Genomic DNA, 12,991 nt, shown 5'->3' on the forward strand with positions numbered 1-12,991 from the left:
CACACAACCACATCAGGCTGATTTTGCTAAATTTTTTTCAGACACAAGGTCTTGCTATGTGGTCTAGGCTGGTCTCGAAATCCTAGGTTCAGGAGATGCTCCTGCGTCACCATCCCACAGTTCTACGATTACAAGCATGAGCCACTGCACCTGGCCAGTTTTCTCTTTTATAATGGAATCTCTCTAGGACTTGAGACCATCCTTCCAGGGAATCCCTCTGTTTCTTCCTTAACACTTGATGTATGCCTACCCTGCCATCTGACAATTTTGCGGGTAACACAGCTCACTATGTTTCCATTACTCCTTTATCCTTAAATCTTGAGTATCCCCTTTCTGTGTAGGACACATAAAAGCTCATTGTTGAGGTCATCTCTTCTCTGTCCCAGAAGATGATAGGAGAAGTTTAAGTCTGACTTCTGAGTCAGCCTAATGCTGGAAATTCCTAAAAGCCAATTTCCAGGTGTTGTCCCTGGTTCTCACAGATCTTTAATTGCTTTCTTCTCTCTCCCACTCTTCAGCAATCCAAGACAAATTGTCTTTCCAAGAAAGTGATCGAAAAGAAAGGGAAGAGAGGCCTGACATCAAACTAAGTCTTAAACAAGGTAAAAATGACAGAATAAAAACGGTTTCTCATCCGCTAAGAGGAAAAGGAGACAAGGGAGGTGAGGGCCCAAGGTCCTGAGGGGAAATTGTGAAACAGGGAAGACACAGGGAAGGACCATGGAGAAGTCAAGGAGGGGGTTGTATGAGCTCCTAATCAGATGCAGGGTCCTGGAGAAGTGGCCATAACAAGACATTGTTGGCTCAATAACCATGAAGGAACCAGAGCCAAGTGTGTCAGTAGGCCAGATTTACAGATGCTAACTACCTAGATGTAATTGTGATTTAGAAAGGTCCCTGTGGGAGGTCAGTATGAAGCTGTGAAGTGTTAAGAACCACAGCCCATGGCCCATGGTCAACATCAAAGAGGAGACCCTTAGGGGAAGAAAAGCTCCTGTTTTATCTGTACTCTCACATTCTCAACACTTTTGACACCAAACATGTGGAGAACCTCCCCACACCAACCAGTTCTTCAGTTCCCTGCAGAATTGTGTACCCCATCCTTAAGGGCTTTCCAAAAGTCACCTTATTAACATAAACTCAGGTTTGGTTGAAATGGGGTTGTTATGCATAACAGGAAGTGCTCTTTTGACTTTCATCACTTAGGATGTTTCAAGGGTTTTAGGAGCTCTGGCCAGGAGCAGGGGATGAAGACTGAAATATATATTTCTTATTATATCACAGGAGATAATTGGTGATGGCAGAAGAGGGGACCCATTTAAATGTGGGGATGTTGTTCAAGAGCAGGAATATTCAAAGAGAAATGCACTCATGTAGAGAGACTCAGAGAGGAAGTGGTGCAGATGTGGAGAGGATGTAGGTATTGAGAGAGAGAGAGAGAAGGAAGGAGGGGAAGTTAAAGAAAGAGTGAAAAAGGCATAAAGGACAACAAAAATAACCATGTTATTAACAGCTCACTTTGATTAAACGTCTATTCTATGGCAATTGTGAGTTTAATGCTCCTGACTGCCATGGAGATTTGTATTCCTTATTGTCCATTTTGCAGATAAGAAACTGAAATCTGGACAAACCACTTACGAAGTTTGCCTAGGGTCAGATGAGCAAGGAAGAACCCCCCTAGGCATTCTAAGCCAGAGCCTTGTTCTTAACTCTGTGATATCCAGGGAACCTAATAATAAAAGCAGAAACATAAAACGCAAATGAGGAAATTTATGCAGAAAGAAAGATACAGAAAAAAAAAAAAGAATAACATGACTGGAGGAAATGGTGGCAACTCAGACACAGAATCCTCATAGAAAGACCAACCAGAAAATGTGAACAGATGTGGAGTGGGAGGGTGTGGTGTAAACGCACATAAGGACAAGACATCCAGGGCTTATGATTTTTCAGCTTTACAATGGCTTTATTGAGGTATTAAGTGCATTTTTGACTTATGAGATTTTCAATTTATGTTGGGTTTATGGAGGTGTAGCCCCATCATAACTGTAGGAGCATCTGTGCTGATTTATCCTTTGGATATATATTCAGCAGTGGGACTGATGGATCATATGGCAGTTCTATTTTTACTTTTTTTGAGGAAACTCCGTACTGTTTTCCATAATGGCTGTACTAATTTACATTTCCATTAACAGTGTACAAGAGTTTCCTTTTCACCATATCCTCACCATTTATCATCTTTAGTCTTTTTGATAATAGCCATTCTAACCTGTATGTGGTGATAGTCATTGTGGTTTCAATTTGTATTTTCTTGATGATTTGTGATGCTGGGCATTTTTTCACATACCTGATGGTCATTTGTATGTGTTCCTTTGAGAAATATCTGTTTGAATCCTTTGCCCACTTTATAATCTGTTTATTTGTTTTTGTTTTTTTTTTTAGTATGGAGTTGGTTGAGTTCCTTACATATTTTAGATATTAGCCCTTATCAGACATATGGTTTGCAAATATTTTCTCCCTTCTGTAGGTTGTCTCTTCACTCTGCTGATTGTTTCCTTGCCCATGCAGAAACTTTTTAGTTTGATGTAGTCTCACTTCTTTATTTTTGCTTTTGTGATTGTGTTTTTGGTGTCATACCAAAAACATAATTGCTCAGACCAATGTCATGGAGCTTTTCCCCTGTTTTCTTCCAGTAATTTTGCAGCTTCAGGTATTAAATTTAAATATTTAATCCATGTTGGGTTGATTTTTTAATATGGCATGAAATAGGGTCTAATTTCATTCTTCTGCACGTGAAGATCCAGTTGTCCCAACATCATTTATTAAAGAGACTGTCCTTTCCCCATTGCGTGTTCTTGGCACCTTTGTTGAAAATCAGTTGACCAAAAATGCATGGATTCAAGCTCTCTATTTTGTTCCATTTGTCTATGTGTCTATTTTATGCAAGTACCATGTTCTTTTGATTATTATAGCTTTGTAGTATATATTGAAGTCAGGTAGTGTGATGCTTTCAGCTTTGTTCTTTTTGCTTAAAATTGCTTTGGCTAGTTGGGGTCTCTTGTGCTTTTATACAAATTTTTAATTGTTTTTCTATTTCAGAAAAAAATGTCTTTGGAACTTTTATATGATTTGCGCTGAATCTTTAGAGCACTGTGGATAGTATGAACATGTTAAGAATATTAATTAATCCAATCCATGAACATGGGGTATCTTTCCATTTTTTGTTCTTCTTCTATTTCTTTAATCAACATTTTAGAGTTTTCAGTGTACAAATATTTCACCTCCTTGGTTAAATTTATTCTTAAGTATTTTCATTGTAAATTGGATTGTTTTATTGATGCCTTTTTCAGATAGTTCATTGTTAGCGTATAGAAATGCAACAGATTTTTTATGTTGATTTTGTATCCTGCAACTTTACCAAATTTATTAGTTCTAGCAGTTTTTTGGTAGAGTCTTCAGGGTTTTCTCTATATAAGATCATGTCATCTACAATTAAGAACAATTTAACTTCTTCCTTTCCACTTTGGATGTCTTTTATTTCTTTTTCTTGCCTAATTGTTCTGTCTAGGACTTGCAGTACTGTGTTGACTAGAAGTGACGAGAATGGACACCCTACTCTTGTTTCTGATCTTAGAGGGAAAACTTTCAACATTTTACTAATGACTATGATGTTAGCTGTAGGCTTGTCATATGTAGATGGTAGTGTTCTGAGGTACATTTCTTCTATAACTATTTTGTTGAAAATTTTTATCATGAAAAAAGTTGAATTTTGTCCAATGCTTTTTCTGCATCTATTGGGATAATCATATAATTTTTGTCCTTCATTCTATTAATGCAACGTATGACCTTTTAAGATTTGTGTGTTGAACCATCCATGCATCCCAGTGATAAAGCTTACTTGATCATGGTGAGTGTGCTGTTGAATTTGATTTGATAGTATTTTTTGAGGATTTTTCACATATGTTTATCAGGGATATCAGGGATATCATATATGTTTATCAGGGATACTGGCCTGTAGTTTTCTTTTCTTATAGTGTCCTTGCCTTACTTTGGTATCAGGGTAATGTTGGCTTCATAGACTAAGCCTACAAATAGACCCCTTATTCAATTTTTTAGACGAGTTTGAAAAGTATCAGTATTTATTATTTAAATGTTTGGCAGAATTCAGCAGTGAAACCATCTGGTCCTGGGCTTTTGTTTGATGGGTGGTATTCAATTCTGGATTACATCTCCTTATTCATTATTGGTCTGCTCAGGTTTTTATATTTGTGTTGGTAGGTTGTATCTGTCTAGGAATTTACCCATTTCTTCTAGGTTATCCAATTCTTTGGTGTATAATTGTTCATAGCAATCTCTTATGGTCCTTTGTATGTCTGTAGTATGAGTTACAGCGTCTTCTCTTTTATTTCTGATATTATTCATTTGAGTCTTTTCTTTTTTTTTAGTCTAGCTAAATGTTTGTCAATTTTGTTTACCTTTTCAAAAACCAACTCTGTTTAGTTTATCTTTTCATTGTTTTTCTAGTCTTTATCTCATTTATTTCTGATCTAATATTTATTATTTCCTTCTTTCTACTAATCTTGGCTTTAGTTTTCCTTTTTTGTCTGAAGTTTCCTAAGGTGTAACATTAGGCTGTTTGAGATCTTTCTTCTTTCTTGATGTAGGTGTTTATTGCTACAAACTCCTCTTCTTTGAACTGCTTTTGCTGTATCCCATCAGTTTTGTTATGTTGTGTTTCCATTTTCATTTGTCTCAATATTTTTTTAAATTTCCTTTTAATTTATTCATTGGCCTATTGGCTGCTCAAGAGTGTGTTTAATTTCCATGTATTTACAAAATTAAAAAACTCTTCTTGTTATTGATTTCTACTTTTATATCATTGTGGTCAGAAAAGATACCTGATATAATTTCAACCTTCGTGACTTTAAGTTTGTAGCCTAATGTATGATTTATCTTGGAGAATGTTCCATGTACAAGTGAGAAGAATGTATATTTCACTCCTGTAGAATAGAATGTTCTTTATGATGCTGTTAGGTCTATTTGGTATAAAATATAGTTTACATTTTATTTGTCTTTGTGGATTTTCTGTCTTAATGATCTATCCAGTGCTGAAAGTAGGGTATGAAAGTCTTTTACTATTATTGTATTACAGTCTGTCTCACCTACAAATCTATTAATATTTATTTAATATATATTTGGTTGCTCAGATGTTGGGTGCATATATATTAGTGTGCAATTATTATGTCATCTTAACAAATTGACTGCTTCATCATTATATAATGATCTTCTTTGTCTTGTTTTAGTATTCAATTTGAATTTATCTCATCTGATATAAGTATAGCTACTCCTTCCTTCTTTGGTTTGCATTTGCGTGGAATATTCACTTCTATCTTGTCATTTTCAGTCTATATGTATCCTTAAAAGTGAAGTGAGTGTCTTGTAGGCCATAGATACTTGAGTTTTTTTTTATTATTATTCATTCAGCCACTCTGTCTTTTGATTGGAGAATTTAATCCATACTTAACATAACTATTTATACTTAATATAATTATTGCTAGGCAAGTACCTACTACAACTATTTTGTTCATTGTTTTCTGGTTGTTTTGTGGATTATTATCTATTATTATTATTATTATTATTATTATTATTATTATTTTTGGAGACAGAGTCTCACTCTGTCACCCAGGCTAGATTGCAGTGGCATGATCTTGGCTCACTGCAACCTTCGTCTCCGGATTCAAGTAATTCTCCTGCCTCAGCCTCCTGAGTAGCTGGGACTACAGGCGCATGCCACCAAGCCTGGCTAATTTTTTGTATTTTAGGTGAGATGGGGTTTCACCATGTTACCCAGGCTGGTCTCGAACTCCTGAGGCAATCTGTCCACCTCGGCCTCCCAAAGTGCTAGGATTACAGGCGTGAGCCACCATGCCCAGCCTGCTTTGTAGATTCTTTATTCCTTTCTTTCTCTCTTCCTTCGTTTGTGATTAAGTGATTTCCTCTAGTGGTATGCTTTGACTCCTCTTTAGCTTTTGTGTAAATACTATAGGTTTTTGCTTTGTGGTTAACATGAAGCTTACAAAAAATATCTTATAGTTATAATAGGCTGTTTTAAGCTGATAGCCTACAAAAACTCTGTACTGTACTTTTACTCTAACTTCTCATTTTCTTTTCTTTTCTTTTTTTTCCTTTCTTTCTTTTTTTTCTTTTTTTTTTTTTTTGAGACAGAGTCTCACTCTGTCACCCAGGCTGGAGTGCAGGGGCATTATTATGTCTCACTGTAGCCTTGATCTCCTAGGCTCAGGCTACCCTCCTGCCTCAGCCGTCCAAGTAGCTGAGACCACAGGTGCGTGCCACCACACATGGCTAATTTTAAAAATTATTTGTAGAGACAGTGTATCACTGTGTTGACCAGAGTGGTCTTGAACTCCTGGGCTTCAATGATCCTCCCACCTCAGCTTCCCAAAGTGCTGAAATTACAGATGTGAGCCACTGCACCCAGTCTCATATTAAATTTTTTATATCACAATTTACATCTTTTTATATTGTGTGTTCCTTAACAAATTATTGTAGCTAGGCTGGGTGCGGTGGCTCATGACTGTAATCCCAGCACTTTGGGAGGTTAAGGTGGGCAGATCACGAGGCCATCCTGGCCAACATGGTAAAACACCATCTCTATGAAAAATACAAAAATTAGCTGGGCATGGTGGCACGTGCCTGTAACCCCAGCTACTGGGAAGGCTGAGGCAGGAGAATCGCTTGAACCAGGGAGCTGGAGGTTGCTGTGAGCTGAGATCACACCACTGCACTCCAGCCTGGCAACAGAGAGAGAGACTCCATCTCAAAAATAAATATATTGTAGGTATTATTTTTAAGTTTTGTCTTTTAACTTTTATACTAGAGATGTAAGTGGTTTACACACCACCATTACAGTATTAGCATATACTGTATTTTGACTGTGGACTTATTTTAACCGTGAATTTTGTATTTTCTTGTGTTTTTATTTTATTAGTTAGCATCTTCTTCTTTCAGCTTAAATAATTCCCTTTAGTATTTCTTGTAAAGCAGGTCTAGTGGTAATGAACTTTCTTAGCTTTTGTTTGCCTAGGAAAGTCTTTACCTCTCCTTCATTTCTGAAGGACACCTTTGCCAAATACAGTATTTTGGTGGGCAGTTTTTTTCTTCAGCACCTTTAATATGTCATTTCACGGTTTCCTGGTGTGTAAGGTTTTTGCCAAAAAAGTTCATTGCTATCTTTATTGAAACTCCCGTATATGTTATTTGCTTCTGTTCTCTTGCTGCTTTCAGGATCCTCTCTAAGTTCTTGAATCTTGACAGCTCATGTTGGTGTAGTCTTGTTTAGATTGAATCTTTTGACCTTCTGGTACCTGAAGATTTATGTTTTTCATCAGATTTGCAAAGTTTTATGCTATTATCTCTTTAAATAATCTTTCTATCCCTTTGTCTTTCTCTTCTCCTCTATGAATTTCTGCAACTCAAACATTTGCTCTTTTCACAGTCTCATAAATCCTGTAAGTGTTCCTTATTACTTTTCATTCTTTTTTCTTTTTCCTTCTCTAGCTGTATTTTCAGACAACCTGTCTGAGTTCAAATTCTTTCCTCTACATGATTAATTCTGATATTGATGCTCTTTGTTGCATTTTTTCATTTTATTCATTGTATTTTTCAGCTCCAGAATTTCTGTTTCTTTTTAAAAATAATTTCAATCTCTGTTAAATTTCTCATTTTGGTCATTTATTGTCTTCCTGATTTCAGTGAATTGTTTCTTGGTATATTCTTGAAGTTTGCTGAGATTCCTTAAAACAATCATTGTAAATTCTTTGTGAAGCAGTTTGTTATCTTCATTGCTTTGGGGTGAGCTATGAGGAGATTATTGTGTCTTTTTGATGGTGTTATGTCTCTTTGGCTTTTCACATTTCTTATTACCTTGCATTTATATCTGTGCATTTAAGGAAGTAAGGACTTATTTCAGCCTCTGTAGATTGGCTTTGTCTGGGAAAGCCTTTCACCCTACTTAGAAATTCTAGGAATTACATCTTGCATAGACCAAAGAAAGGCTTGCTGCTGAAGGTGCCTAGGATAATCAGTGGGCAGGTCTATGCTGGGGCAGGCCTTGAGCCAGAGTCTGCAGGGATCTACACCACTGGTGCAGCCATCTTCAGGCACTTCAGTGAGCCTGAAGACCAGTGCATGAGAGGCAGCTTGGTACTGGGATGAGACTGAAGGCCAGAGCCACTGGTAGTAGTCTGGGTTCACTGAGGCTGAAGTAGTGCTGGGGCAGGCTGAAGACTGCATCTGTAAGGGCTGGCCTGGAGCCTGGGGATTCAGGATTCAGCCTGGGTTCAGTGTGAGCTTGGAGGTTCAGACCATGTGTACCAGCTGGAGTATCTACAAATAAGGAAACTGCTGATTTTATATAGAGTTTTAGGAAACATAGTTCAGGCACTACAGACTTTCAGAAACAGGAGTGTATGAATAGTTTAGCATTTAGCCATCAACACGGGCTTTCTGGAGGGGGCTGCGGCTGATTGGCTGGCCTTCAGATGTGTAGGACTGCCACTGATGGGCTAGCTCTCAGAAATGATTAGTGATATAAGTAATCAATGGCCAATTAGGACAAGTTGAAACAGTTACTTCTTACTACTTTCTTTTTGTTTGTTTGTTTTCTTGTTTTTGAGACTGAGTCTCTCTCTCTGTCACCCAGACTGGAGTGCAGTGGCACAATCTTGGCTCACTCACTGCAGCCTCTGCCTCCTGGGTTCAAGTGATTCTCCTGCCTCAGCCTCCCAAGTAGCTGGGATTACAGGCGCACGCCACCACACCCAGCTAATTTTTGTATTTTTAGTAGAGACAGAGTTTCACCCTGTTGGCCAGGCTGGTCTTGAATTCCTGACTTAGTGATTTGCCCACCTCAGCCTCCCAAAGTGCTGGGATTACAGGCATGAGCCACCGCACCCTGCCACTTCTTACTGTTTTCAAAGAACATTAGTATTTTCTGGAATGATAAGAGCTTTTTAATTTTTTCTATTTTACTCTCAGGACTACAAGTAGAAAAATAAAAGTAAAGAAAAGGAGAAGGAGGTGCAAAACATGGGGAGAGCATGGCTGTTATGTGTCAGGCGTGATTATTGGAGCGGGTATATTTTTTTCCAGAGAGCACTTCACCTTGGCTCAGAATATTAGTGTCCAGCATCACAGCACTGGGAACTCTTCTCTGGTCACTGTCTAGAGGTCACCCGAGGAATGTGTGTGACCTCTAGAAGCTGAAAAGACAAGGAAATAGGTTGTCCTCTCCAGACCCCAGAAAGGAATAAAGGCCTACTAACATAATGACTTTAGGCAGTGAGACCTGTGTCACACTTCTCACTGACATAACTGGAAGATAATAAAATACAAAAATAAAAATAAAATAACTTTTTTGTTTCTCATTAGTATCTGGTGAACTAGAAAATTACCAAATGACCAAAGAAGGAGAATCAGAAGAGCTTGCTTCTAGCTTGCTATGATGTGATGTACCAAGTAATTATGACTTAAAAATATTAAAAACAGAAACAGAGTTCTGATAATGAAAAAAAGACAAAAGAGGACAAAAAGGGAGACTTAAAGGAAGAGTCAAATATAGGGAGGAGAAGTGAAAGAAGATTTCGGAGGAAAAAGTAGAGAAGAGGGCAGCAACCAGGGTGCAGAAAAGAGGGTTATTGGGGCAAATTAAAAGTTCATAAATCACAATTTTGCCCCGGGAGCAGAGCGACCAGCATGTGAAAATGAGAAGTGTTCCTATGTCATGTGTTTCTCAGGAGAAGTGCCAGAAAGCCCGGAAGCAAGGAAGGAAAGTGACCAAGCATGTGGCAAAATGGGTAAGGCTGCCTGAGGGCTGTGGGATGGGGTGGCTCAGTGGGCCCCACAGACCCTGGGAAGAGTGGAGGCAGGTGCTCCAGTCCGCCCAGAATCCTGTTCTGTGCATTTGCCTCACCCAAGCCTTTGGGGAACTGCAGAGAGGCAAGAGATCATTATAAAGTTTTACTTATCAAGATGGGCTCTGTTGATTACATATGGATGACGTCATAGAATGGTGCTGCTCTTTAAAGTGGCAGTTATCCTGTTTATTGCATTAATATGTTAAGTCACACTCAATATTCCATGGAACCCAAGATAACCCAGTGAACTTCTGCTAGTAGATAATAGTGTCATTTTGCTACACCTTAGAAAGGCCTCACCCAAAAGACAACTAATCCTGGTATTAATTGTCAGGGGGGAAGACTGCAGGTCTACTCTTAGCCCAACACGTATTTTTGATAGAAGACCCAGGGCCCATCCTAGACTCCTAGTTCTCAGTTCAGTGGGTTTTTGGTTCCTCTAGAAGAAAGAGAGAAATGAGTAACCAAACATCTTTATAAACTCAAGCCTTCTATAGTATGAATTGTCCTAAAATCTATAACTTTTATTTATTAATTTCTGTTTCCTCACTACCACTTGTTATTTTCTAGATACTGTGGATATTGCAAACAACTCTACTTTGGGAAAACCCAAGAGGAAAAGAAGTAAGAATAAATAAGAATTTACTTGCTTTTGATGTTACAAATACATTTTTAATGCCAGAGTTTTCTTTTTGTCATTGTTACTGTTTCTGTTATTATTTGCAATACTGTGGTAGAGAGAATGATGGCCACCCCAAAAAACGTCCACCTCCTAATCCCTGGACCTGTAATCTGCTATCTTACATGGCAAACGGGACTTTACAGATACAATTAATTTAGAGACCTTGAAATGGGGAGATGATCCTGGGTTATGTGGTGGGCCCAATCTAATCTTGTAGGCTTTAAAGAGTGGAGAACTTTTCCTGGCTGTGGAGAAAGGAAAATGTGACTATGGAAGAGTCATCAGAAACATGTAATGTTGCAGGCTTTGAAGATGGAAGAGGGAACCAAGGAATGTGGATGACCTCTAGAAGCTGAAAAAACAAGGAAATAGTTTGTCCTTTCCAGCCCCCAGAAAGGAATGAAGGCCTACACCTTGACTTTAGGCAGTAAGACCCGTGTCACACTTCTCACTGACATAACTGGAAGATAATATATTTGTGTTGTTTTAAACCACTAAATTTGTGGTAATTTGTTATGGCAGCAATTAAGAGTAATACGGATTTTAGTACTTGGCAGTGGGGTGTGGCTATCACATATTCCTGAAAGTGTTGGGGTGTCTTTGAGATTGCGCAGTGGAAAGAGGTTGGAAGAATTTTAAATAGAGTGATAGGAAAATCCTAGATGAAAAAATGGAAATTAAGTCAATTAATAACCCTACAATGGCCTGTAAGTGCTCAAGTTAAAGAAAGAGTCGGCCGGGCGCGGTGGCTCACGCCTGTAATCCTAGCACTTTGGGAGGCCGAGACGGGCGGATCACGAGGTCAGGAGATCGAGACCATCTTGGCTAACACGGTGAAACCCCGTTTCTACTAAAAATACAAAAAATTAGCCGGGCGTGTTGGCGGGCACCTGTAGTCCCAGCTGCTTGGGAGGCTGAGGCAGGAGAATGGCATGAACCTGGGAGGCGGAGCTTGCAGTGAGCCAGGATCGCGCCACTGCACTCCAACCTGGGAGACACAGCGAGACTCCGTCTCAAAAAAAAAAAAAAAAAAAAAAAGAAAGAGTCACATGTACTCACTTTAAATAAAAATCTAGAAATGATGAAGTTTAGTGAGGAAGCTATGTCAAAAGTTGACATAGGCTGAAAATTAGGCCTTTTGCAGAAAATAATTGGCCAAGTTATGAATGCAAAGGAAAAGTTCTTGAAGGAAATTAAAAGTGCTACTCCAGTGAACACTTTAATGATAAAGCAGAACAGTCTTATTGCTGATGTGGAGAAAGTTTGAGTGGTCTGGATGAAAGATCAAATCAGCCACAACATTCCCTTAAGCCAAAGCCTAATCCAGAGTAAGGTCTTAACTCTCTTCACTTCTCTGAAGGCTGTGAGATGTAGAAAGCTTCATAAGAAAAGTCTGAAGGTAACACCAGTTGGTTCATGAGGTTGAAGGAAAGAAGCTGTTTCATAACATTAAAGGGCAAGGTGAAGCAGCAAATGCTGATGTAGAAGCTACAGCAGGTTGTCCAGAAGCTCTAGCTTAGGTCACTGATAGAGTTGGCAACACTAAACAACAGATTTACAGTGTAGACTAAACAGCCTTCCATTGAAAGAAGATTCTGTCTAGAACTGTCATAGGTAGAGAGGAGAAGTCAATGCCTGGATTCAAAGCTCCATAGGACAGGAGGAGTCTCTTGTTAGAGGCTAATGGAGCAGGTGACTTTCTCTTGAAGCCAATGCTCATTTACCATTCTGAAAGTCCTAGGGCCCTTAAGAATTATTCTAAATCTACTCTGCCTGTGCTCTATAATTGGAATAAAGCCCAGATGAGAGCACATCTGTTTACAGCATGGTTTACTGAATATTTTAAACCCACCATTGAGACATATTCCTCAGAAAAAAAGACTCTTTTCAAAATATCACTGTTCATTGACAGTGCACGTAGTCATACAGGAGCTCTGATGGAGGTATACAAGGTGATTAATGCTATTTCCATGCCTGCTAACACAACATCCATTCAGCAAGCCCATGAGTCAAAGAGTAATTTCAACTAGCAAGTCTTAATATTTAAGAAATACATGTTGTAATGCTATAGCTGTCTTTATATATAGTGATTCCTCTGATGAATCTGGGCAAAGTCAATTGGAAACCTTCTGGAAAGGATTCACCATTTCACATTGCGATTAAGAACATTCATGATTCATGAGAGGAGGTCAAAATATCAACATTAGCAGGAATTTGGAAGAAGTTGATTACAACCCTTATTGATGACTTTGATGGGTTTAAGACTTCAGTGGAGGAAGTCACTGTAGATGTGATGGAAATATCAAGAAAACTAGAATTAGAAGTGGAGGTTGCAGTGGTTCCCACCTGTAATCCCAGCACTTTGGGAGGCCAAGGC

The 12,991-nt window shown here is 38.6% G+C and overlaps 1 protein-coding gene across 21 annotated transcripts in view; it reads left to right on the forward strand.

The window, feature by feature from the left end:
- SP140L (SP140 nuclear body protein like) overlaps positions 1-12,991 on the forward strand; it is a 76,540-nt gene that overhangs the window by 33,903 nt on the left and 29,646 nt on the right. For 11 of the 21 annotated variants that reach the window (XM_047446412.1, XM_047446413.1, XM_047446415.1 and 8 more), the window contains 3 exons: positions 519-602; positions 9,762-9,872; positions 10,503-10,556. In XM_047446412.1, the coding sequence (XP_047302368.1) occupies positions 519-602; positions 9,762-9,872; positions 10,503-10,556 (249 nt within the window). The remainder of the gene's footprint in view (positions 1-518; positions 603-9,761; positions 9,873-10,502; positions 10,557-12,991) is intronic. The other 10 variants (NR_148198.2, NM_138402.6, NM_001352892.2 and 7 more) reach the window with 1 other exon arrangement.

Source organism: Homo sapiens, chromosome 2 (genome assembly GCF_000001405.40).
Source record: "Homo sapiens chromosome 2, GRCh38.p14 Primary Assembly".
NCBI lineage: Eukaryota > Metazoa > Chordata > Mammalia > Primates > Hominidae > Homo > Homo sapiens.